General features: G+C 44.3%; 1 protein-coding gene across 3 annotated transcripts in view, besides 2 other annotated features; it reads left to right on the top strand.

The window, feature by feature from the left end:
* Window positions 1-11,799: 11,799 nt before the first annotated feature.
* Window positions 11,800-25,789, top strand: part of MAML3 (mastermind like transcriptional coactivator 3) — a 437,432-nt gene continuing 423,442 nt past the window's right edge. For all 3 annotated transcript variants that reach the window (XM_047415929.1, NM_018717.5, XM_047415930.1), the window contains exon 1: window positions 11,800-13,124. In XM_047415929.1, the coding sequence (XP_047271885.1) occupies window positions 12,657-13,124 (468 nt within the window). In that variant the 5' untranslated portion in view covers window positions 11,800-12,656. The remainder of the gene's footprint in view (window positions 13,125-25,789) is intronic.
* Window positions 14,239-15,081: an enhancer, noted in NCBI's record as "H3K27ac hESC enhancer chr4:141072057-141072899 (GRCh37/hg19 assembly coordinates)". NCBI's record gives its function as "activates a minimal SCP1, AML or CMV promoter by ChIP-STARR-seq in naive H9 embryonic stem cells {active_cell/tissue: H9 hESC(naive)}" and the evidence as "EXISTENCE:reporter gene assay evidence [ECO:0000049][PMID:30033119]".
* Window positions 15,082-15,926: an enhancer, noted in NCBI's record as "H3K27ac hESC enhancer chr4:141071212-141072056 (GRCh37/hg19 assembly coordinates)". NCBI's record gives its function as "activates a minimal SCP1, AML or CMV promoter by ChIP-STARR-seq in naive H9 embryonic stem cells {active_cell/tissue: H9 hESC(naive)}" and the evidence as "EXISTENCE:reporter gene assay evidence [ECO:0000049][PMID:30033119]".

The following is a 25,789-nucleotide window of genomic DNA, read 5'->3' as shown; positions in this document are numbered from 1 at the left end:
GTTCATTATTTGGATATAATACAATTTATTTAACCAACCCCTAAATGATGGCTATCTCAATCACACTGTGTGTGTGCACATGCACGCGTGCGCGCGCGCACACACACACACACACACACACACACACACACACAGAAAGAATAGAAGCAAGGGCCAGGCGCGGTGGCTCATGCCTGTAATCCCAGCACTTTGGGAGGCCAAGGTGGGTGGATCATGAGGTCAGGAGTTTGAGACCATCCTGGCTAACATGGTGAAACCCCATCTCTACTAAAAATACAAAAATCAGCCGGACATAGTGGCAGCGCCTGTAATCGTAGCTACTCGGGAGCCCTGAGGAGGCAGGAGAATAGCTTGAACCCTGGAGGCAAAGTTTGCAGTGAACTGAGATTGCGCCACTTCACTCCAGCCTGGGTGACAGAGCAAGACTTTGTCTCGAAACAAACAAAAAAAAGAAGAAGAATAGAAGGAAGGAAATAAGGAAAATGTAGAAAAATGGAGAATTATTGGCTTATATAATGAAAATTCTATGGCACCTGGCTTTAGGCTCAGCTGGATCCAGGGCAGAAACTGTGCCAAGAGGACTATCTCCATTTCTTGGTTCTGTTTTCTAGTGGGTTGGCTTTATTTTCAAGCAGACTTTTTCCTGTTATATCAAAGCTGGCAACTTTAAGCTTCTATGATCCTTAACTTCTGGATTCCTAGAGGAGGAAATGTCCTTTTTTTTTTTGGTAATTCCAACAAAATTCCCAGAGGGAGCTTTAATTGGACCAGCCTGAGTCACTGTCTTTGAATCAATCACTATGGTAAAGACAGACATGGCCTGGGTGAGCAACATGCCCCTGGGACCAGGGAATGTTCACCTTCCCTAGCCTTCTGCAAATTTCATGGGCTGAGAAGGTAGGTAGGATGGTTTTGAAAAAATATAAATGTGTTCTGTTACCAGAAGATACAGGCATGCTTATCGTGAAGCCAAAACCATCAATACTGAGGATGGATTAACGTAGTTAAACACTAGTGCTTCTGTGGGGAAGTTTTTAATGATTACAAATCTATAACATCTACCTGTAAGAAGGTGTTCATGGTTTGGAACTTCATTTTAACCAACATATGTTACACTGCTTCTCCATTAAGTTGGAGAAGATTCCTGCCCCTTGCCAATCAGACTTGTCTTCTTGCCTTTTTGCAACATCTGTTTGTTACTCATCCAATGGATGGCGAACAGCGTTGGTTCAATGAACTTTCACTGCCCTGGCCAGCTATTACTTCATCCCTGGGCCAGGTCTGTTCCTTAATGGTAGCTGAGGTATTATCGACTTTTTACTTCTTCTATGATGAAGATTCGTTGTTTTATTTAGTTTTGTTTAGTTTTTTTTAAATTATTATTATTTGAGATGGAGTCTCGCTCTGACGCCCAGGCTGGAGTGCAGTAGCAGCACTTCGGCTCACTACAACCTCCGCCTCCCGGGTTCAAGTGATTCTTCTGCCTCAGCCTCCTGAGTAGCTGGGACTACAAGCGTGTGCCACCATACCCGGCTAATTTTTTGTATTTTTAGTAGAGACAGGGTTTCACTGTGTTAGCCAGTATGTTCTCCATCCTTGATCTCCTGACCTCGTGATCCACCTGCCTCGGCCTCCCAAAGTGCTGGGATTAGGCATGAACCACTGTGCCTGGCAGTTTCTTTCTTTCTTTTTTTTTTCTTTTTTTTTTTTTAATTAAAGACAGAAGCTCACTCTGTTATCCAGGCTGAAGTACACTGGGGCAAGATCACAGCTTGCTGAAACCTTGAACTCCTGGGCTCAAGCTATCCTCCCTCCTCAGCCTCCCACGTAGCTGGGACTACAGACGTGAGCTGCCATGCTAGGCCTGAAGATTTTCTTTAAAAATAATTAATAGGAAAGGATGCAGGAGAAATGAAGAACATTCAGCCCAAAGCTGAGATCTTTGTTTTGAATCTCATGGGAACTAATAATACTCTAATTCTAAAATTGTTATATTTCACACTAGATTATTTTCTGGCATCAAAAGCCAGTGGGTAATCAGAAGCCTGACCGGACCAAAATATGTGGATGTCCTGGGTAGGTTAACCATTTGGTGGACCTGACACCACTTTGGCATTAATACAATGGAGAAACTAAGGATAATGGAAGAGCCTAGGTCACTGGTAGTTCTCTTTTCTCCATAGTCTTAAACTTGCATATCCCACTCAGTAAGATAAAAACCCTATATCAGGACACACCCTTCTTAGTAACCACCTACCTTTGCATGGTTCTAGGACCTCTCAAACTCTACCCCACCACTGCACCAGACAGATGATCCTAGTGTTTCTTCTGAACAGGGCGAGCCCTCTCCTGTATCATCCCCCCTTGATCCACCCTCTGCAGTTATAGTAAATTGTTTTTTCCATCTCCTCACACGTGTAGTTGGGCCATCCTTAAACCTTTCCAGCTCAGAGGAATGACAAGAAATTTGAGGGACCTGACGGTGCACAAGTGGATAAGTAAGCTTTGGAGCCACTGTGAACCACAGTTTGGTGACATTGAGAAGAGAAGTGGAAGAAGCAATCGTACGTGTGTGATGGAGAATGGGGGCTGGGCCAGGGAGGGAGAGAGAGTTTGCCAGCAAAAACAAGATGACTCACAGAACTATTTTCAAACTCTTTTTAGCTGTGGAACCCTTTATTCAAAGCATATCTTGCTCCAATTTGAAAAAGAAGGCAGCTAAGTTGAAGAGGAGCCAAGACCCAGCCCACTTCCCCCTTCCCATACAACAGCCCCTGAAACCCCTCGGAGGGAATTCTTAGGGCTCAACACGGCTGAAAAACTGCTGACCTCGACTGTCTACTGGAGTAAAAGTGAAGAATGCAGTTTGTTCAGAGACAAACTGATGTTGCCTAGGCTTTGTTCCAATGTTAGAAAGGGAGGGCACAGCTAAGGAACAGACAATAGAAACCATTAAACAGATAGATACCTCAGGGCGATTTTTCATCAGACAATGAAAGTGATGCTTTGTGTTCCTCAACATTGTATCTTATTTTTACTTTCAAATAACATGTACAGGATGGGAAACCTTAGTGTTAATATTGGGGGTAATTCTCACTAAGCTTAGGTTAATTTTTTGTTTTCAAATTCTGTTTTTTCTAGTTTCGTTTTAACTGTGACAAACCTTTTCCTAGTCTCCCTTAAACTCTGCCCAATCAAGAACTGACTATACTTCCCTCTTGCTAGCCTATTGTATTATGTACATTTCCTTCTCACCACCAGATTGTTAAGCTCCTTTAGGGAGGAAAATGTTTCTTTTCATGTATGTATCCCTCGCACCTACACAGGACTTGTCAATTGTTAATAAATATTTGCTAAATAAATGGCACTAGCAGAGACAGAATAGCTACGAGGCCCCTACAACAACAACCACCCCACAAATGGGAATTCAGACTGTGTGGTGGTAGGTAAGAAAGAGGCTTTGGACCTGATTTGAATGCAAGTTATGTAAACTCTTTAAGCCTTTGTTTTCTCATCAATAAAACGGGAGTAATAACGTGGTGGAGTTACATCTTTCTCAGGCCTATAGCTGTAATTACCTTAAAATCCCTATGCCTTAGCTTGAACTGCTATAACAAAAATACCATAGACTATTAGCTGGGTGTGGTGGTGCGCGCCTGTGGTCCAAGCTACTCAGGAGGCTGAGGTGGGAGGACTGCTTGTGCCCAGGAGGTCTGCAGTGAGCTCTGATTGTGCCACTGCACTCCAGCCTCAGCAACAAAGTGAGACCCTGTATCAAAACCAACCAACCAAACACTATAGACTAGAACGCTTAAATAACAGAAATTTATCCCATACAGTTCTGAAGGCTGGGAAGTCCAAGATCAAGGTGTGAGGCTGATTTGGTTGCTGGTGAAAGCTGTCTTTCTGGTTTGCAAGTGGACAGCTTCTTGCTGTGCCCTCACATGGCAGAAAGTGGGGGTGGGGTGGGGGGGAAGCAACCTCTCTCCTGTCTTTTGTTATAAGGGCACTAATCTCATTATGAGGGCCCCACCCTCATGACCAAATCACCTCTCCCAAGTCCCACATCCAAATACTATCACACTAGGGATTAGGGTTTCAGTGTATAAATTTTGGCGGGGGACACAAACTCAGTCCATAGCACTTTCTATCAACCATGAGGTAAAGTAAATCTAGTATACAGAGTTTGGCACATTCCTCTATAGACTCTTAGCAACTCCAAAATCTATAGCCCTCATCCCACCATTTATTTATTTATTTAGCTATTTATTTATTTGAGACAGGGTCTCACTCTTGTCACCCAGGCTGGAGTGAAGTGGCATGATCACAGCTCACTGCAGTCTCAACCTCCCTGGCTCAAGCAATCCTCCCACCTTGGCCCCACACGTAGCTGGGACAACAAGCCTGCCACCACACCTGGCTAATTAAAAAATATTTTTAGAGATGTGGTCTCACTGTATTGCCCTGTCTGGTCTCAAACTTTTGGGCTCAAGTGATCCTCCCACCTTGGCCTCCCAAAGTGCTGGGATTACAGCCACCACCTCCAGCCTCTCCATTGTTTATTTGAGTATGGATGAAGTAGATGGACCCATTGAATTAAAAATAAACATATGTTTATTGCAGCACTATTTACAATAGCAAAGACTTGGAACCAACCCAAATGCCCATCAATGATAGACTGGATAAAGAAAATGTGGCACGTATACACCATGGAATACTATGCAGCCATAAAAAGAATGAGTTCATGTCCTTTGTAGGGACATGGATGAAGCTGGAAACCATCATTCTCAGCAAACTAACACAGGAACAGAAAACCAAACACCACACATTCTCACTCATAGGTGGGAGTTGAACAATGAGAACACATGGACACAAGGAGGGGAACATCACACACCGCGGCCTGTCGGCGGGTGGGGGGCAAGGGGAAGGAGAACATTAGGACAAGTACCTAATGAATGCGGTGCTTAAAACCTAGATGATGGGTTGATAGGTGCAGCAAACCACCATGGCACATGTGTAACAAACCTGCACGTTCTGCACATGTATCCCAGAACTTAAAATAAAAGAAAAAAAAAGAGAGAAAACACACACACACACACACACACACACACGCACACACACAGTAAAAATAGTTTTAAGGCTTAAAAAAAAATATATATATATATATATACACACTTTTTTCTTTTTCTTTTTTATTTAACAAACCAGAAGGCATAGTTTAATTCATGTGTGTTAAAAGCACATTTGGGCCAGCTCTGGTTTCCATACATCCTAGGGTTGTTGGGAATATCACATTGGTTAATATATGGAAAATGCGTTGGCCAGTAGCCGACACCTGGCTGTGATGTACAACAAATATGAGCCCCTTCCCCACCTGACAGACAGCAGAGTGCAGTTGGGGTGAGGGGATCTAAGAGGCTGGTTCTCCTCCGCCTCTCTTCCACCTCTGCACCTCTCCAAGTCAATTTATAGAATACCCCAAACCCAGAGACACAGCATTTTGAAATATAAATCATATCGCACTATGATTTTCTTATATTGCATTCAAACAGTTTCTATAGGATGGCAGTGCAGTGCTGCTCTCCTCGGGGGCTACTGCCTGGCACTGGCCACACACAAGTCCCTTTCTGATTTTGTAACTTTGGTAAATTGTGTGCTACCATTCCCTCTTTCATTTACGTGTCCCCCACACACAGTTACAGAGCTCTGTCATGGACAGCCCTGTGTTAGGTCCCAAGACCAATAAAACACAAGTGAGACATAGACAGGTAAATAAACAGTTATAATAGAGTGTAATAATATAAGTACAAAGACAGAAAAATGCCCACTATTCTCAGAGCACTGAGAGGGTGGCTAGCTCAGAATGGGGGCTGAGGGAAGCATGGCCAGAGACAGCTTTCTACAAAAATGACTCCTCAGCTATAACCCCTCTGCAGCAACAAACTTCTGTTAAAATGAGATCTGGGTAAAACACAGTAATTTTATTTTATTTTATTTTATTTTTTTGAGACGTAGTCTCACTCTGTCACCCAGGCTGGAGTATAGTGGCGCCATCTTGGGTCACTGCAACTTCCGCCTCCCAGGCTCAAGTGATTCTCCTGCCCCAGTCTCTCGAGTAGCTGGGATTACAGGCGTGCGTCACCATGGCTGGCTAATTTTTATATTTTTAGTAGAGACCGGGTTTCACCATGTTGGCCAGGCTGGTCTTGAACTCCAGACCTCAGGTGATCCGCCTGCCTCGGCCTTCCAAGGTGCTGGGATTACAGGAGTGAGCCATCGCCCCCAGCCAAAACACAGTACTTTTAGTTTTGTAAAAAGGTAGAATCTTAAAATGAGAAGGAACCTTAGGAACTTGGTTACATATTTCTTCCATAGCTTGGTTCAAATTGGGTCTCTGCCATTTTTAAGCTGTGTGGTTTGGGGAAAGTTCTTTAAGTTTTCTGTGCCTCAGTTTCTATATCAGTGAAATAGAGGATAACAATAGAACCTGGAATAGAGCAAATTTTCAATGACTGTTGGCCATCACAATTAATTATTTCTAACGTTAACAGTTTAGCTGATTATGGGCCTTCAATAAATTTAAAAATTCATAAATATTTTCTTTCAGAAGTCTTCAACTTTGTATATGAAAGCCAGACATTGTTCAAGTCAGATGCCTTATTATATTATTTAACCGTGAGAGTAGAAATATATATGAAACAGAATGAGAGACTTTTAAAAAATTTCTCTGCCATGGACTTTAGATAACCTTTCCCCTAATAACCATGAAACTATTATATACATATTAAAATACATGAATAAGAAAATAAATCCTATTAATTCATACTCCTCTCAAAATTTATGACATGGTCTAGGACTTAGTAAACCCCTTCTTAATAAAAAATGAGAATTAACAACATACACAGAATCTTGCGAGAGGTATTTAAATACTTAAGAAAGCAAATTTTTGAAACACCCCTAGTTCATGAGGCATGTCACCTATATGCAATTGCTTCATAGGTAAAAGGAGATCATTAAAATAGCTCCAAGAGGCCAGTTTTGTTAGGCTAGACAGAGTGCATGCTTCAAATGTAATGAAAATCTATAGCTTTAAAGATATTACATAATCTTTTCAGTTAAATAAGGCCAACCTTTTCTCCTAATAAGGAGGTTTTATTACACAGGGATAGATATTAATATAACATACTCAAAGTACTAATGCTGAAAAAGGCTAGTCAAATTCACCCTTTTGGGATTTTGCCTTTGTGTTGCTACTTCCTCAATATTTAAAGGTCAGAATTCACACACCCAGCTGAGGTTAGGAAGGCCCGGGAGATCTGGACTAGTGATTCTGGTAGAGCAGATGGCAAGGGCCTTGTGGTCGTTGACTTAGGCTACGTGCCCAGGCAATTGTTGTAAATTTAAGTGGATTTAGAACTGCCTTCAGTTTTCACTCTCTCCTATACCACAGAGCTTTCTAGAGTGTGTTCTATTCTGTGGGACATAACAGGATTTTGGCAATGTTAGGTTAAACAAAGTTAAACATGCTTTGCTTCAAGATTTCTTGTGACCTTCAATGTGGTAATAACTCTTTGGAGAGATGCAGTACAGAACATGTCCTAAACTTACTTAGCTCAGAAGCCTTTCTGGTAAAGCATCTTACGGAACCAAGTTTTTCAGACACACTTCTGAAAACGCTATAATAATACATCCACTGCATTGCCAAAGTAAACAGTGTAAATCAGCTTAAGTCCTTTTAATGGCAGCCATTGTCCCAAGGATATAGTCTAAACTGGATGGCCTTGAACAATCCAGGTCCTGCTTGTCTCCCCAGCCTCCATCTCATTTCTCATCACACTCTTTCACACTCACAATCGTGTGAGAAGGAACTACCACTGGATTTTTTTGGAGACGGATTCTTAGCTCCTCCAAGCATGCACTCTTTTGCTTGTTCCTACACCCACTCCATATTAATTCTATTATGGCATATACTGCCCTGATTCTAGTTGGCCGTCATTGAGGTTGGGACTGTGTTCTATACACTGTTATTATGCTGTTCACCCAGTGCCTACCACAGTGTGTGGCACACAGAAGGCCATAAATATATTCATGGAATTATTGAAATGATACCTATTGCTAGACAGCTGAGGGCACATCCCCCGGCTGCTAGTAATTTAGGAGTGCCTGGGCCCCACTTTGGAAAGATATAAAGGTTTGGTTGCTCATATGTGGGCAGCAGAGGGTTCCTATTCTTCTTTAGCCACAAGATACTCTTTTATGAAAGCAGATCTATTGATCCATAGTAAGAGGGAAACAGAGGGGGCACATAGACTGGAATTTCCGCACAAAGGTCTCTTTCTTGTCACTGGGACACTAGGCCTTCTCAGGTGAATATAGGAAGATGACACAGACTTGGTGTAAAGGAAATGGAACCTGGTTGAACTCCTCAGAACTGCCAACTTTGGCTCAGAGCCAGGACAACAGGATAACCTGGTGTAGCTACTTATTCATCAAGCCCTTCTTTCCTTGGCATCCAGAGAGATATCATCACAGTTGGGGATGCAGTCATAGTAATTTCTTTCTCATCACTGCTATGGCATCTCAATTATTATTATTATTATTTTTTGTCATTCAAGAACAATAGCATTGATGCTGTGTCTACCGCTTTCATCCTGAAGTTTTGCCTTGTAGCAGGCTCACAGAAAAGACAAAGATGGTCATGCTGTCAGTGTTGTGCTGTGAGAAGGGACTAAAATTGCTTCTCCAGAACTTGGATTTCTCTATGACTTTCAAGGAGTTCTTTAGGAAGGTGACCAACAAAGCTGGAAACCTTGCAGGACCATATCATGGGATCTGGAAGTAGCCAGCATAAAGGTCTCTGTTTCTTCTAAGGTCACTGGAGTAGATCAACATCTCTAATTCAGGGTGACTGGCATATGTTGCTCAAGATGCAAGCCTTGCTTGCTTCTTGCTTCTTTCTTCTAATCTTCCTGCACAATGAGAATGGGGTTTCTGACCTCTGGTACGTCACAGCAGAGTCCTGCACAGGTCGGTTTCTCAAAGATTCTTCCCCTCTGGCCATCACACAGTTTCACAGTTCTTCCTTTCCCCACATCTGGGGCATGGAGCTTGTGGCTGCCACTCCCATTTTGGAGAGATGAAAGACGGGTGCCTGTGTGTGCGCTTGTTTGTGTGTACACATGTAACAGTTTTTCTTTTGGGTATAGCCCATTCATGCACTAAAATCAGGCAGCAAAGTATACTGTGGTTGTGCAAGAAGAGCTTCATTTGTCATTGGGGAACTCTGTGGTAAAACCACAAAGTGTGCTGTCCCACCTGCTGGTTCCCCAAAGGGAAGGATGCAAATTCTTGTGTCTTTTTGGTTTCCCTTCATGGTAGGAGAGGTAAACAGCTTGAAGGGAATACATGGTGCTGCTATTGTTGTCATTTTTTCCCCAGAATGAGAAACTCTCAATGAATAATTAAATTCTGAGTCACAGGAAAAAGCTAAAATGAGAACCCAAGTCTCAAAAACTAAAGACCCAGTGCTTAAGACCCTCAAATTTGTTGCCTCTGTAAATCAAACTGCAGTCTTTTGTGGGTGATGGAGGCAAGTGAAGGAGGAGGGATAACAATTAAACTACAGTGTGGCCAGGCGCAGTGGCTCACACCTGTAATCCCAGCACTTTGGGAGGCCAAGGCAGGTGGATCATCTGAGGTCAGTAGTTTCAGACCAGCCTGGCCAACATGGTGAAACCCCGTCTCTACTAAAAATACAAAAATTAGCCAGGTGTGGTGGCGTGCACCTGTAATCCCAGCTACCCAGGAGGCTCAGCCAGGAGAATCACTGGAACCCGGGAGGCAGAGGTTGCAGTGAGCCAAGATGGCGCCACTGCACTCCAGCCTAGGCAACAGAGCAAGACTCTGTCTCAAAAAAAAAAAAAAAAAAAAGAATTAAACTACGGTGAAGAGAGAGCAAAGCGAATGCAGAGTCATAGCTTCCCCTCTGTGGCGAAGCCATGTGTTTCCTGAGTTAATAGAGATATTATTTAGTGAATATGTGAAAAAGATAAAGGCCACTTTGCTACCTCTTTTTCTAATTTCTTAAAATTCTCTACATATTTTCAGAATCTGAACGGGCTCTTTTGCTACAGACGTAGTCCAGTTAAATTTTCTGACTGAGACTTGAAGAAGGGCAGTTTGATACAGAAATTTGTATATTAACTAAATAGCCTTCAGAAAAAGTGTGGCAACTTCAATGAAATATACACTCTCTTAAGTTGGTTTTACTGCTTAGAAGTAGCCTCACACCGTATTAAATATTTTGCTGCCCATTTTGCCATATATCCAGTGAATATTAAAAATATCGTTCACTATATAGAACTGATTAATTGAAGAAAAATATAGCTTCTTATCGCTGACATTATGAGGTTAGAAATAGCATCCTGTGCTAATCTGCAATGCCAAGAAATGAAGATGGTTTAAATCAGATCTCATGACTAATGCATAAGATCCAAAGTTCTTTTATTCCTGGCTATTTTAGAAAACTGGGGTGTATTTTTACCCTAAAAACTAATTCTTAAGATTTATTGAAATAATACAAAATGACTTATAATTAACATCTCACAATCAAGATTTATAGTTTACTGATTATTAGAGAAATAATAATTTCTCCATCTTAATTTTTAAAAATATGTATATGCAATGGTTTAAGTCCATATTCAAGAATATTTGATCCTTAGTTGTTATTTTTGTTTTTAGATAATATCGGGAAAGATAATGTGCTTTAATAAAATGGAAAGTTTAGATTGATTTCTGCAGTTGCTAGTCCATTTTAATTGTACTTATTGTGAATTCATTGAAATGGAAAGAAATATATCCAGCAATAAAGTAGGCCTGTTATTTTTGCTTGTTTTTGTTTTGGTCATGACAAACTGTGAAATGCTGTGTTTTTTCTATAGTTCTAGTCTATGAAATCTGCAATCTTTCCACTTGATTTACGAAGGACCTTAATTACTGCTGTCATTAGCACCTAGTGTTCAAAACAGTCTGTTTAAATGTACTGTTAGTCTCACCTCCAAGTCCCTGCTTGCTTTATTTTTTTCCAAGGGTAAGTAAAACAATAATTGACTTAGTAACAACAATCATTATGTACAGTGAGTTAAATATTACACATTTTTGATGCCTATTTCTATTTATTTAGAATTTGGTATTTGTGTGTTCAGTCTGGCCTAGACTTGGAACAAGTGTCCGTAAGTAGCGCTGTTACTAGCGCAGACTTATTACCTGGGTTTTAAAAACAAGTCACTCATTTGCCTTTTTCTTTCCACATGGATAGGGATGACAGACAACTGCTGTAAAGCTTCAATGTTTCTGCCTGGTCATGCACAGTTCTGCAATATAATGCATAAATGTATAACAACAACTTGGGATCGCTTGATACTTTCCTTGGAATAAGGAAACCCTACCAGGCGCGTCCCCGCGCACGCGCGCGCGCATACACAGACACACACACTCACACACGCTCTCACGCACACACACAGGTCAAAAGTTGATTTATTTCTGAGATCCCCCCAGAATCTTTCTTCTCTCCGTCGCCGACGGCTCTGGGCTTCTCGGCGGGGCGGTAGTGTGGTTGGGGGCGTAGGAGGGGCGCCGGGCGCCGAGGCGACGGAGACGGGAGCCGGGTGCTGGTGCGTGCCGCGCCCGCTCCTGCCGGGTGAGAGTCCGGGCCGGGTTTTGCGCCGTGTCCGCGGGCCTGTCTCACGGCCTCCAGCCGCCGCCGCTGCCGTGTTTACTGAGCTCGCGCGTCCTGATATCACTCCGCTGGCATGGAGGAGGAGGAGGAGGTGGAGGAGCGAGAGGAGGAGGAGGAGGCGGCGGCGGCGGCGGCGGCGAGCAGTTGATCATTGTGATGGTGGCAGGAGCAGCGGCGGCAGCGGCAGCCCAGCCGAGCGTTAGGTGCTGCTCTCTGCGCGGCGTTTTGCAAAGGACTTCACCGATCTACTTTTGCAGTCGCCTCGGACTGTCCATGTGTTTACTTCCCCCAGCCCGAGGATTCGATATCTAGGTTCCTGTGAAATGCAACTGAGCAGCCAAAGTACTTTGAGAACACGGGGCGGCATAAACACCAAAACTTTTTTGTGGAAGGAAAATGCAATAAGCAAGCTTGCCGTTTTCCGATGCGGTGTGGAGTGAGTGTGTGTCGCGCGTGTCCGCACTGGAGGCATATGCTTGTGTGTGTACATGGGGTGTGTTTTTCGGTATGTAGGGAGAAAATGCTTGCCAACCACCGGAAATCTCCTGGAATTTATTAGAAAATAATGGATTATAAAAAGAAGGCAAGCAAGGAGCGGATCTCCCCTTGAGTTGCAACCCGATTTGCTGCTGGCTCAGTTTGTTGTGATTCTTTTTGTTGATAGGTGTCTGATGGTATTCCGATAACGTTCCCCCCTTTTCTTCCCCTTGAGCTTTTACAGTTTAAAAAAAGGAAACAAAAACCACCCCAAAATCTCCCCCCCCGTTTTTTTCGCCCCGTCGGGATCGCCGTTTCCATCCATGTGCTTGCGTCTCCCCCGCGTTCCACTTAAACTATTTTAATCCTTGGACCCAAGGAGGAGGCTGATAGGGGGGTGGATAAAAAAAGTTCTTCCAAAATAGTGTGCCCGGGGAGCAGGATGGGGGATTTCGCAGCCCCCGCTGCTGCCGCGAATGGCAGTAGTATTTGCATCAACAGTAGCCTGAACAGCAGCCTCGGCGGGGCCGGGATCGGTGTGAATAATACTCCCAATAGTACTCCCGCTGCTCCGAGTAGCAATCACCCGGCAGCCGGTGGATGCGGCGGCTCCGGGGGCCCCGGCGGCGGTTCGGCGGCCGTTCCCAAGCACAGCACCGTGGTGGAGCGGCTCCGCCAGCGCATCGAGGGCTGCCGTCGGCACCACGTCAACTGCGAGAACAGGTACCAGCAGGCTCAGGTGGAGCAGCTGGAGCTGGAGCGCCGGGACACCGTGAGCCTCTACCAGCGGACCCTGGAGCAGAGGGCCAAGAAATCGGGCGCCGGCACCGGCAAACAGCAGCACCCGAGCAAACCCCAGCAAGATGCGGAGGCTGCCTCGGCGGAGCAGAGGAACCACACGCTGATCATGGTGAGGGCGCACGGGCAGCGGGCTTGCGGCGCGCGTTGGGGGTGGTGGTGGTGGTGGGGGGCGCGTGGAGCTTCTTACATGGGGGTACAAGGGTCTGATTTGCACGGTGGGTGAGGTGGGCTGAAGCCTAAGGGTTAACGTCAACTTTTCTTAGGGAAAAAGCTGCCGTCGTCGCTACCTGTTAATCTGTCAGGGTTGTCAGATTTGGGGAGGAGGGGGCGAGAGGGGAGAAGCCAGTCACGACTGCGAGGGGCGGAGGGAGCCTAGAGGAGCGTCGGAGTGAGGTGCTGGAAAAGTTTCCCCCCTTCCCTTTCTTAAGATACCGATTTGAAAGAGTGAACCCCTGAGTTGAAACCTTGCTCCTCCTCTTCGCCGCTCCCCACCCCACCTCTAGCCGCGCCGCCTCGCCTCCCCAGACCCGTCCCCCTACGCCCACCCCTCTCAGCACATCCGCCGGGTGCGTGGAAATATTGATGCTGTCGCAGGTTCTGGGCGGGCACCAGGCCCTCAACCCCTAGGGGGGAAGCGGGGAAGGAGAGCCTCTCGCCTCCTCTCCCCAGCTCACCCCCTTTGGGCTGAGAAAGTCTGAGAGTTTTGTGAATGAACTTTGAAGTGGGTGAGAAACGAGCGAGGGTGGCTGCGCGCGGGGGTGCTCGCGGGAGCGCGCGCGGATGCGGGGCGCGGGTGCGCTCCGCTCTTTGCTCGCGACTCGGGGCTAGCCCGGCAGGTGGAGCGGCTGGGAGGGTTAAGAGGGGAGCGGCCTGGAGGGGGCGGGAGGGGAAAGCAATACCCAGGGTTTGCGCCAAGAGGCCCCACCACACAACTTCGCTTGGGATTCTTTCCTTTTTTCCTTTTAAACTTGCGTGCACGGAGTCTTTCTCCGCTTGGCGCCCCCTGCCCCGCTGCCCGCCAACTTTGGGGGCCTGCTTAATAAGCCCAGAGCAATGGAAGGTAGCAGGGAGGTAAAAGAGGCTTAAATGGCTGGGTGGGCGGGTTCGAGGTAGGATGAGCAGCCAATGGCTTAACTTCTCCAGGAGGAAGGGGCAGTTCCCACCCCCCAAGCCGGAGGCTAGAATCCTTTCTCTTATCTCCCCTCTCCGGTTCTTTTGCTTTCCTTTCTGGGTGAGGGGAGGCCGGAAGCTTGGGAAAGGTGTGTGCCCCCCCCCCCCGCACCGCGCCGCCCGGGTGCTGGGTGGGCCAGGCGACGGGAATCCTGGAGCGTGCCGGGGCCGCGCGCCTTCGCCTGTTTCCCGTGCAGACCGCCCAGCGATCGGCGGCGCAGAGCCCGGCAGGGGCGGCCCTCCCGTCGTGCGGTTTAGAAATCGCACACGTTCCCGGTCTGTGAGTCCCCGGCGCCGGGGTGGTGCCAGTGCTGCCGTGGGCTTTCGCCGGGGGCTCGGGCCGGCGCTCGGTGACAAAGAGTCGGCTTGGGGGAGGGGAGGCGACGCCGCAGTGCTCGCTCCCCACGTCCCCCCACCCCGCACGTGAAGAGGAACAATTTGTTTATCTTGGGCTTCAAGAATCCTTCCCTCCTCCCAGTTCTCCGGGGGCGCTCAACCCCTCCTCCCTCCCCTCCCAGGTCGGCGCGATCCTGCCCAGTCCCGCCGGCAGCACCTTCCCTCCTCCTCTTCCTCCTCCCCCTCCCCTTCCTCCTCCCTTCCTCCTCCTCCAGCCACTCTTGCCCGCCTTCTTCCTCCCTTTTGGAACGTGGCCGTGGGGGAGGGAGCGGGAGGCGCTTTGTCCGCCTCGCGGCCCAGCTCAGACCCCGGGGCCGCTGGGCTGGGAGGGGTGCTGCGCCCCGTGGCCCTGCCCGCTTCATCGCGGCTGTCCCCGCCCCGCCGCGCCCCCCATGCCCCCGCGTCCCTCCTCTCCGCTCCCCCTGCGGCTGAGCCTGCCCCGAGCGCGAAGAAGGGGCCGTCTCGGTTGGTTTTGAGGAAGAACGACAGTTCGAGTCGGGGGAGGTTCTCGCTTTACAAACAGGAAACCGAAAACCACTGACACACTGTAGTTTTTCTGATTGTAGCCGGAGGCGGGGCCGGTCCCGCATCTCGACTGTAGCTCCGGTCCCTTTCTCCAACCTATTTCTCTCCCAGCCCCCGCCCCCCTAGCGCCCTTCCACGGAGGAGGAGATTCACTTTGTGAACCTGAGACTGAGAATTTAAGAGGCACTGAAGGTTTCATGCCTGCCCACCCCGCGTCCTCTTTTCGTGTATTTGTACACCCCACGCGCATGGATTGCGGAGAAATGGGCTCCTTTCGGGAGGCTCCAAAATTCCCGTGCCACAGAATCTCTCACAACCTTTGGGGATCAAGGACTGCTGTGGCGTTTACCTCGCCAGCTGGGGGACCCTGGAACAAAAGCCAGTGCCGTTCCCAGTGCCGGGTCTCTGGACACGGCAAGATGAGTAGAGTTTGCGACCAGAAACTTTCGGTGTTTGGGTTGTGTTCTCTGGTTTCCGCCCTGGTGGAGGGAGGGCTCGGGTGCGCGCGCCTGGTTTGTGATACACTCGCAGGTGGAAGCAAGCCCAGCCTCCTGACCTTACTGGGAAGAAGACAGCAAGCCCAAGCCACAGCTTACTTTTGAAAATAGAAAGATAATGCTTGCTTCAATAGACAGAGACATCAGCTGTAGATTTCATAGTGAATCCCAGTTTAGCAAATTAGCAACAAATAGACTTGAAAGATGACTGCGTGAAAATAAAATTTTCTGTCATTTTATGACAATGATTTAGCCTGTTGATTAGACTTACGCACTAATAAATGCCAGGGCTGTGTACAGAATAGGAGTGTATTTTAGCTTCAGCTGTTTCACATGCATCTCTCACTGGTATGTGTGATGAGTGTGATGAATGTAATGTAAGCCTTAACTCTTAAGCAGAGTTGCAAGTAAATTCTGTGTACCAAAAAAAAAAAAAAAAAAGAAAGAAACATGCTCTACAAGTTATATTTCCTTTTAAAATAATTAGTTTAAAAGTTAACCTTGGCTTCTGAGAGTATTTTAACAGTCTGTATTGAGGTAAAATCTCAAAAATAGAGGTTGTAAAGAAAACGTTGCTCTTCATTTTCTTGAATTGACTGCAGGATTATAGTTGTACTCCAGTGAGGCACAGAACAATTAAATGTAGTTCTCAGATTGGGCGCTCTATTTGGAAAGCCCTAAAGAAAAACAATGATCACCCACAACCAAATAATAATAACGGTGATATAAAAATAAAGATGAATAGGATTCTTTACTGTTTCATTGGTATTGTTTACTTTCTAAGGACCAATATGTCCGAAGTACTAAATATCGATTAATTATCTTTCTGCCTCGCTTGGATTAAGAAGGCAGTCTAATGAGGGCTTTGCCTCTTTTGATTTGTTTTCCTATCTTACACATTTACAAGAATGGGCATGAAAAACAACAACAAAAAAATAGCAAACAAAAAGCAGAGTGGGTGAGGGGTAAAAAATTTTCCTTGGCTCCAGGCTGCCACAGAGGGGGCTGGGTTCTGTGTGAGTCCTCACCAGCCCTGTTGATAGAGCAGGTGGCACAGACCTGGGTTTGAAGCTGCACTACCTCAGGTATTAGGTCCGTTCTGAACATGTAGTCAAATGATCCCATCCCAACCACCACCACTTTATTGACATAGTTTTTTTCTTCCCCTCAAAGACTTGGTGAAAATTATTGACTTCACCTATCAGAGAGCCTCAGTTGAAAAGATGGCTTTTAATTATTTGTGGTAACAAAAGGGGGCATTGTTTATTTGCTGTATTTGGAACTGAGGTCCTGGTTAAAATTTTAAGGCAAATTTCAATTGACAAGTACATTTTCAAGCTGAGCAGGCACATCAAAAAGCATGACAGTGCACAGTTTTCAAAATTTTAAAATGGTGATAGTCTTAGTTGACTTAGATAAGACCATATTATTTTCATGACCTCTTCACTGTATTAGCACCATCGTAACTTTCAGAGTGTGCTTAATTTATATACAGCTTACAGACTGCATAAATCTATGTGACCCCTGTTCTGAAGAGCTTATCACAAAAAATTCATAACATGCATTTAATAATAAATGCGTTATTACCGAGTATTGGAGACAACTACAACCCATCCAAAATGTTCCATCCATTCCTGGAATAGATTCAGGAAATGTCAACATATTAGTCCACTGCTGAATGTCCTTATACGTTAATCTGGCTTCCCATTTCTTACCCTGTTGAAGGTAAATTACTGGCTCTGTATCAATTTTTTTGGCAAGCTCGTATTACCAAGCTATTTCTACATCTTCCCTATGATAACCTTTTCTTTGGCTTATCCTGTTCTGCCGCTAGCATGGGTAACAGGACAGACTGTCTTTCGGAAAGCTTTCCATTGCCCAACACAGCATGCCTTAAGTTTGTGGAAAACTTTTTGAAATTTTGTTTTTTCTGTCCTTCATATGTATTTTTTTCTTTTAATTCTCAAGAAGCATTTTTTTAAGCTCCAATACATGTTTAATTCTATTATGTTATTTGGTTGTGGTATATTTTATTTAGTACTGGGCAGCCAGTGGTCAGAAAAGTAGAAGCAGAGTTAGTTAAGCATTAATCATAATCTACAAAATGCTCTTCAAGCTGAGTTCCTTCCCAGGGAAAGCCAAGTTTTCAGGAAGCTAGTATGCTTGATACTTTCTATCCTGTCTCATTAGAATTATAAGGGCAAACTTTAGAATCTTTTTTAGGATTTCTGCCACCTGATAGGAGAAAAATGGGCAGTCCTGTACATAGTTTACTGACATCTCTGGAAGAAGAAGGATGAGGAATTTAATAGTAAAATAGAGTTATATGGAGTTATTTTCTGAATATCGCTGTGAGACTAATGGCCAACTGTTGTTAAAGAAGTTTTCCTGCCCATTTGGTTGAGATAGGAATATAAGGCATTTCTCTCTCTCATGCATGCACGTGCACACACACACACACACATTCACTCATTCACTCACTCACCCTGGTGTGAGTGTCATAGAAGGGATCCAGTGTAAGAACCTGTTTTGCATGTTAAATAGTAATTCTTGGATATATTTGAAGTACTTGTGTGATTACTGTTCCCTGTTTGTTAAGTAACAGTCCTGTCTTATACTCTTGAGCTTAAAAAGGCTAAATTCTGTTGTCTTTTTCCACATTACCCATCTTGGAGAACTGTGAAATCAATCAAACAGACATCAGACTCTTATAAAGAGGAACATATTTAAAACTCACTGTCAAGATTTTCATAGTGTCTACCTTTTAAGTCTCCCAAATAGCTTTACATTTTTCACTCTATTATTCAAAGGCTGATGGTTGAGTTTTCAGATCCCCTGGCTGCTTGCTTTGTTTTTCCTTCCCCCCACCTGCTGCCAACCTTTTGGTCTTTTCAGTGATCTTTAACACCGTTATCAAAGAGTGGGAAGAAGCAATAAGAAGAGAAAAAATTTAATTTTGGTGCTCCTGACTCTCAGAACTAATGAAACAATCAGATACAATACCATTTTGGATTTAGTATGGATTTGCCTTTATTCTTACTTAGCACAAATAATAAAGACTGAGTTTCTAATTTCATTCATTCATTCAGCAGCATTGGTACATTGTCCATAGTGTTTCATGGAAGTTAAGATACTAAATCACGCTCTTGCATCCAAGACTTTGACAATATATATTCTCTGTAGATTTTCAGTATTATTCTAGCCAGATTCAAGGGCGTAACAATTTTTTTTTTTTTTTTTTTTTTTTTTGAGATGGAGTCTCACTCTGCCGTCAGGCTGGAGTGAAGTGATGCAATCTCGGCTCACTGCAAGCTCTGCCTCCTGGGTTCAAGTGATTCCCCTGCCTCAGCCTCCCGAGTAGCTGAGACTACAGGCATGTACCACCACGCCTGGCTAATTTTTTGTATTTTAGTAGAGACAGGTTTCACCATGTTGGCCAGGATGGTGTCGATCTCCTGACCTTGTGATCTGCCCACCTCAGCCTCCCAAAGTGCTGGGATTACAGGTGTGAGCCACCGCACCCGGCCAGATTTTTAAAAATCAGTATAGTCATTGGCACTAACGACAGCAGTTTCAGGCTTCAGGGTGTTATATCACCTTTCCATGATTTTTAAGGAAAATATTATAATATGCTTTACTTTCCTGTTGTTTCATACCAATTTGACATTGGTATCTGCCAAATAAGTTAATTTGCAGATGACTGCTCCAAAATTACAGTATCCCCCCACAAATTAAATTTTTATTACAAATACAGCCTGCTTTCCAGACAGATTCCAAAAATTCACTATTTAGTTTTGTGACTTGGAAATGTAGCTTCTGAAAAATCAGCTGTCACCAAGAACTGATTAATTTAGTTTAATTTTTTTGTTGTTTAAATCTAAGAAAGTTTAAAGAACAAAAGAAATAGGGTTAGATAAAATTATGCAGAAAATGGAGTTGAGGGCCTGCTGTATAATAAATACTTAAAGATCATGGGGTTCCATTCAGTGGATCAGAGAAGGAGCACACTTTTTTTAAAGTCTACTTGGCAATTCCATCTGTTAAACAGTGGAGGGGTTTTTGAGTTCCTTTCTCCATTTGGGACAGAAGCACAGCATTCGGCGTTCTCTGAGGGCCGCATGCACGCATGGATAGGAGCAGGAAGTTACTACTATGGCAAGCTGTGTATACTATTCTTGGAGAAATTTAATTAAAAAATCTCAAAAGGTGGCCGGGCACAGTGGCTCATACCTGTAATCCCAGCACTATGGGAGGCCGAGACCGGTAGATCAGTTGAGATCAGGAGTTTGAGACCAGCCTGACCAACATGGTGAAACCCCGTCTCTACTAAAATACAAAAATTAGCTGGGGATGGTGGCACACGCCTGTAATCCCAGCTACTTGAGAGGCTGAGGCAGGGGAATTGCTTGAACCTGGGAGGTGGAGGTTGCAGTGAGCCGAGATTGTGCCATTGCACTCCAGCCTGGGCAACAAGAGTAAAAATCCTTCTCAAAAAAAAAAAAGAAAAAAGAAAAAAAAGGCCAGGCGCAGTGGCTCATGCATGTAATCCCAGCACTTTGGGAGGCCGAGCGGGCAGATCACGAGGTCAGGAGTTCGAGACAAGCCTGACCAACATGGTGAAACCCCATCTCTACGAAAAATACAAAAATTAGCCGGGCGTGGTGGCGCATGTCTATAATCCCAGCTACTTGGGAGGCTGAGGCAGGAGAATTGCTTGAACCAGGGTGGCAGAGTTTGCAGTGAGCTGAGATCGTGCCACTACACTCCAGCCTGGTGACAGAGTGAGACCCTGTCTCAAACAAAACAAAACAAAACAAAACAAAACAAAAAAATCTCAAAAGGCTTGCAGTACTTCCTCTGACATAAAGAAAGTGATTCCTCAATAATAATTTAGGCACCTTTTAATTATATTGGACCTCCCATTGATTGGAAATGACCTTTATGCTGAAGTAGAACCTTTTAAAATGCTAATAACTAACATTCATCCCCCTTTTGCAATGGCTTAACAACTGTAGAAAACTTAAGTGAAATATTTAGTTTTTAACTACCAACTTCCAGAATTTTCCTAACTCCTTTTATTGCCATCCTGTTGAGTAGAATCTGGTTGTGTATCATTTCATGTTTATGGACCCTCCACCCCTCAACTGTTAACAGTGTTTTACTTCCATGGGTAAAGGAGGTTATTAGGTTACACTGCTGTGTATCTCTCCTTCCCTTTCCCAACATCTTTCTCCACCTCCCGAGCACGTCTGGACAGGGGCTTCTATCTCTTCAAAGGAAAAGGCCGAAGTGCTCTAAGTCTATTTGTGTAGATTCAACCTGGGTTGCAACTGTGACTCAAAAGGATTGCACAGCTCTGAAAGACATGCTCTGCTTGTGCCCTTTATTCTCACTCTGGTTGGTTATTTTTCTTTGTTTGTTAGATGCTGAAAGTAGCTCAGCGATTGAGAGTGAATCTAAAAGGCTGGGTACCCAGTAAAGGGCTTGAACTAGTGTTAAGGTAGGAGAGGCAAAAAAGGATGAGCATTTTGGAGGCATCACCTAGAATGGATATCAGAGGAGAGAGACATGTGAGAGCAGGTGTGGGTAAACAGACTATATCCTGGTGCTTTGGGAGTTTACAGAAGTAAAGCATGCTTTTAGTAACCTATTCTGAACTTGGAGAACTTGCTGAAACTCGAATATATATTTTTAAGAGCTAATGGCTATATTGTTTGTACCTGGAAAGCAAATCATGTTCCTGAAATATTTCTGTGCTCTCTTAAATTATTACTACTGCCATGTGAATGGATTTACTGTAGGATTCCTTTAATTCTTTTTTTTTTTTTTTTTGGTTTTGCTTTTTTTTTCGGAGACAGGGTCTCGCTCTGTCACCCAGGCTGGAGTGCAGTGGCACGATCCACCTCCCAGGTTCAAGCAATTCCCCTGCCTCAGCCTCCCGAGCAGCTGGGACTACAGGTGCTCGCCACCACTCCCAGTTAATTTTTTGTTTTTTTGGTAGAGGTGGGTTTTTGCTGTGTTTCCCAGGCTGGTCTCAAACTCCTGAGCTCAGGCAATCTGCTGGTCTCGGCCTTCCAAAGTGTTGGGATTACAGGCATAAGCCACTGAGCCCGGCCTTAATTCATTGATTATTAACTGGTAGAGGTTTGGCCATACCCCAGGAACATTTGGCAATGTAGGGAGACATTTTTGGTTGTCACAGCTGGAGGGCTGCTACAGGTGTCTAGAAGGCAGGGGTAGAAGTGGGTAGAAGGAAGGGATTCTACTAATATCCTACAAGAGATTACACCCGTAACAGAGAATTACCTGATCCAAAATATTGCTGCTGGTGAGGGGCCCTGCTTTAAACAAGGAGCTCTCCTAGGGTTTTGAAAATATGAAAGAAGATGGGTTTACACATGCGGCATTACTCTCAGCTTTTTAAAAACATCATTACTTGAAGAGCAGAGAGAGGCAGAGGTGCCGCGATGAGGTGAAGGATGCCTGGGAAGAAGTTAGAGGACTGCTGTGTTGCATGGCAGCGCCATCCTAGCTGGCCACGTGGTATGATGTTCTGGCTGTTTACTTCATGATTGTTATCTCTTCTTGCCTGTCAGAAAGGTGAACGGTTGTCTTTTTTTGAGACAGAGTCTCGCTCTGTCGCCCAGGCTAGAGTGCAGTGGTATGATCTCAGCTCACTGCAACCTCCACCTCCTGGGTTGAAGCGATTCTCCTGCCTCAGCCTCCCGAGTAGCTGGGATTACAGGCACCCGCCACCACGCCCGGCTAATTTTTGTATTTTTAGTAGAGACGGGGTTTCACCATGTTGGTCAGGCTGGTCTTGAACTCCTGACCTCATGATCCGCCCGCCTTGGCCTTCCAAAGTGCTAGGATTACAGGTGTGAGCCACCGCGCCTGGCCAGTTGTCATTCTTTTCACCTCACAGAGTCATTGATCAATGAGTTAGTATACGTAAAAGTCCTGAACACCTTATGGTGCTGCACAAATGCTAGGCATATTTTAATGAGTGACTTTCATTTCACTTAGTTGTTGCCTTCTGCCCAAATGCAGACTTAAAGTTGAGTGATTTGAGGCTTATTTCACTCGTGCACAAGCCAACGTCTCCTGAACATGTACTGAGCAACTGTTGCACGTTGGGCACTGTTCTAGCCACTGAGGATGCAGTGGTGAACAGGACGTCCTTATTCTCACTGGGCTGCAGCAGGACATAGTTTTACATTTCAAATTAGTTTTATGAAATGGTATTTGTTGTCTTATTAGACATGTAAATGGAAACACTTTAAAAAACTAACATTTAGGAAAATCCTAAGGGCGTCAGATGCTTTGTATCTTCTTGCAAGCATTGCTTTCTGTAACAAAATTCATTTCAAATAAAACTGTGCAGAGGAGAGGATTAGTTGGTGTGGTGGGGAATAAGATTAAGGTATGGTATAGTTGTTAAAAATGAGGCAGATCATTGTCTTTCTTTCCCCCCTTGTTTTTGGGACGAGGTGACCCTTGTAGCATCATGATCATGGCTTGACACTGAGCTTTTAGAGGAAACTAGACAAAGAGGAGAACATTTAGAAAGAAGCATACAGGAAGGTGCAAAGTCTTGAAACGATGTCACAGGAAGAACAGCTGGAAGACCTGGAGGTGTTTAGTCTGATTTAGGGGGTGACAGGATTGCTTTCTTAAAATATTTGAAGGACTGTCACTTGAAGAAGGGATTAGATGTGCTCTGTATGGCCTCAAGGGGATAAATTTAGGATCTCTGGTTGACAGTTATTAGGATCCAGGTTGTGGTTTAATAGATATATTTAAAAAGCCAATCTTATGAAAATTTAAGCTGTTCAAAGATGAAATAGGCTGCTTTGCTGAGTAGAACTGTCCCAGCAAAAGTTGTTCATTTGGCTGGAACATTGGAGAGGGACAGGGACTTTGTCTATTCATTATTATATTTCTATGACTTGAAAGGACCTACATGTACATAGGAGGAACTCTAAATATTTGTTGAATAAATTACTAAATGAAAGAAAATAGGTTAAGAAGTGACTTAATTCCTCCCCTCAATGTTATTTCCTTTCTCAGAAGTAGCTACAGTCTGGAATCTCTTTCTCCAGACCCTCTTCTGTTCACTTACATATATATTATATATTGTACATAATCACATATTCATTTTTTCTACATAAATGGAATCATATTATGTATACTTGTCTGAAATACACTTTTTTCTCTTTCATATATTTTAGAGAGCCATCCAAGTTGGTGCATATAGATCCTCAACTCATTCTTTTTAACTGCTATATAGCATTCCATATTGTGACCATTTCATAATTTATTGAATGATTCTCTATTGATTGATACTTTGGTGGTTTCTTATTTTTTGCTAATTAAATGTTTCTGTAATGAACATCCTTATTCATATATCCTTGTACATATGTGAGCATTTCTGTAGCACAGATTTAGGGTTCTTTCTATAGATATAATATGTATAAAGAGAAAAAAGTTGGCGGGAAAATCTCTTAATCTAATATGGTTTAATATAGCCCCTGAATCTTATTACAGCCCATTTTAGGGCAAATGATAATTATGTCTCCTTAACAATATGGCTTAAAAAAGTATCAACTCTAGTAACTAGTGTTGGTCTTTGCACAGAACATTACTAGTTTTTAAAGGCCGTGTATTTGGCAAATAACACATCTTACAGGAGTGACGTTCCTTTTTCTCAGCTGGCCCTTAAAGAGGTTTTACTGAAGGAGGAACCTGCTCAACCAGGTCCTGCTCATTCTGTGAAAGTGGGAAATTCACTTCCTTGAACAATTTTGTGGTTCTTTTTACCTTTCCTGAGCTTTGTGTTTCACAGGCTTGATTATATGGCTTTATTTGCAAAATGTATTTCAGTGGGTGATACAGAACCTAGGGTGTTCGTGGGTGCAGATTGGAGTGGTCATAAAAATCTCAGGTCTGTGAGTTGCCACTTCCTACAGGTTAAATTACCCTGACTAATCCAGTCATCTGTGTAACATGGTAATAACAACCTGCTGACCTGGCCAACTGTAGAAAATGCATCAAAATGGACTTGCTTCGACAGGCACCTTATAGCATTTGTTTAGACAGTGAGAAGTCCTATCAGTTTTCATTATACACAGGTGCTGCAGTGGTCTGAAGACTGCCCTTCATCAGAGTTCTTAGTTATTTTGCTTTCCCTTTGGCATAGCAGCTCCCTTACACTAAGATAATAATAATTATCGTCTATATTTTCACAGTAGCTGGAGCAACCTGGCTCCAGAATCTGTGCTCTTGGCTACTATATTTTTCTGTCTTCACCTGACTGCAGTGTTTCTTCTTGAAAAGGTTGTCTGAGCAACTGCATTTTCTAAATAGCCGTGTTTTGGCAAAGAGCAGTTCTCATCTATTTGACTTTCCTTTATTGGTCTGAACAGGAGCCACAATTCAGGGACATGGTAGTGCTGGTTCTTGCCAGGCCCTGCTGTTTTATGATGAGGTCCCCAACTTTGCTGTCTCCTGGCCTCACATACCCCTGGCCTTGAATGTTTCTCCTCTCCCCATCTCCTGTCCCACCATATCATGTTCCACCTTTGTGACAGTGACAATAGGACCTGGAACCTTGTACAAGGTACATGTGGCAATGATTTGACCCAGAGAGATAAACCAAGGGTGGGAATGTACGTGATTCGGCGCCTAAACTTTATATGTCATTCTCTACCAAATGATTCCAATAAACTAAGTATTATGCTTCAATTTATGATCTAGATTTGGTTTAGCCTTTTTTTTGCCATTTAGCTGGGCCCATAGCATCTTATTGCTTCCTTCTTTATTCTGAACCTTTGGCTAGCTAAGTTAATGCAGCTATGTGCTCACTGTAAGCTTTAGGAAAGGGGGCTTCCTCATTCCATAGATAGCCAGGTGCCTTCTGTTTCAGTGGCTTAAATAGCAAAAGTTGGTTGTATACATAAAATTAAAAACTTCTCTCTTAATCTTGCACCTAGGCCATCCAGTATGATAAATTAAGAGATTCTTTTTTATTTTAATTTTAATTTTTTTTTTATTTTTTGAGACGGAATCTCACCCTGTCACCCAGGCTGGAGTGCAGTGGTGCGGTCTTCGCTCACTACAACCTCTGCCTCCTGGGTTCAGGCAATTCTCTTGCCTCAGCCTTCCGAGTAGCTGGGACTACAGGTGC

Source organism: Homo sapiens, chromosome 4 (assembly GCF_000001405.40).
Source record: "Homo sapiens chromosome 4, GRCh38.p14 Primary Assembly".
Taxonomy (NCBI): Eukaryota; Metazoa; Chordata; class Mammalia; order Primates; family Hominidae; genus Homo; species Homo sapiens.
Note: the sequence above shows the minus strand (reverse complement) of the source record. Positions and strands in the feature narration are given on the sequence as shown.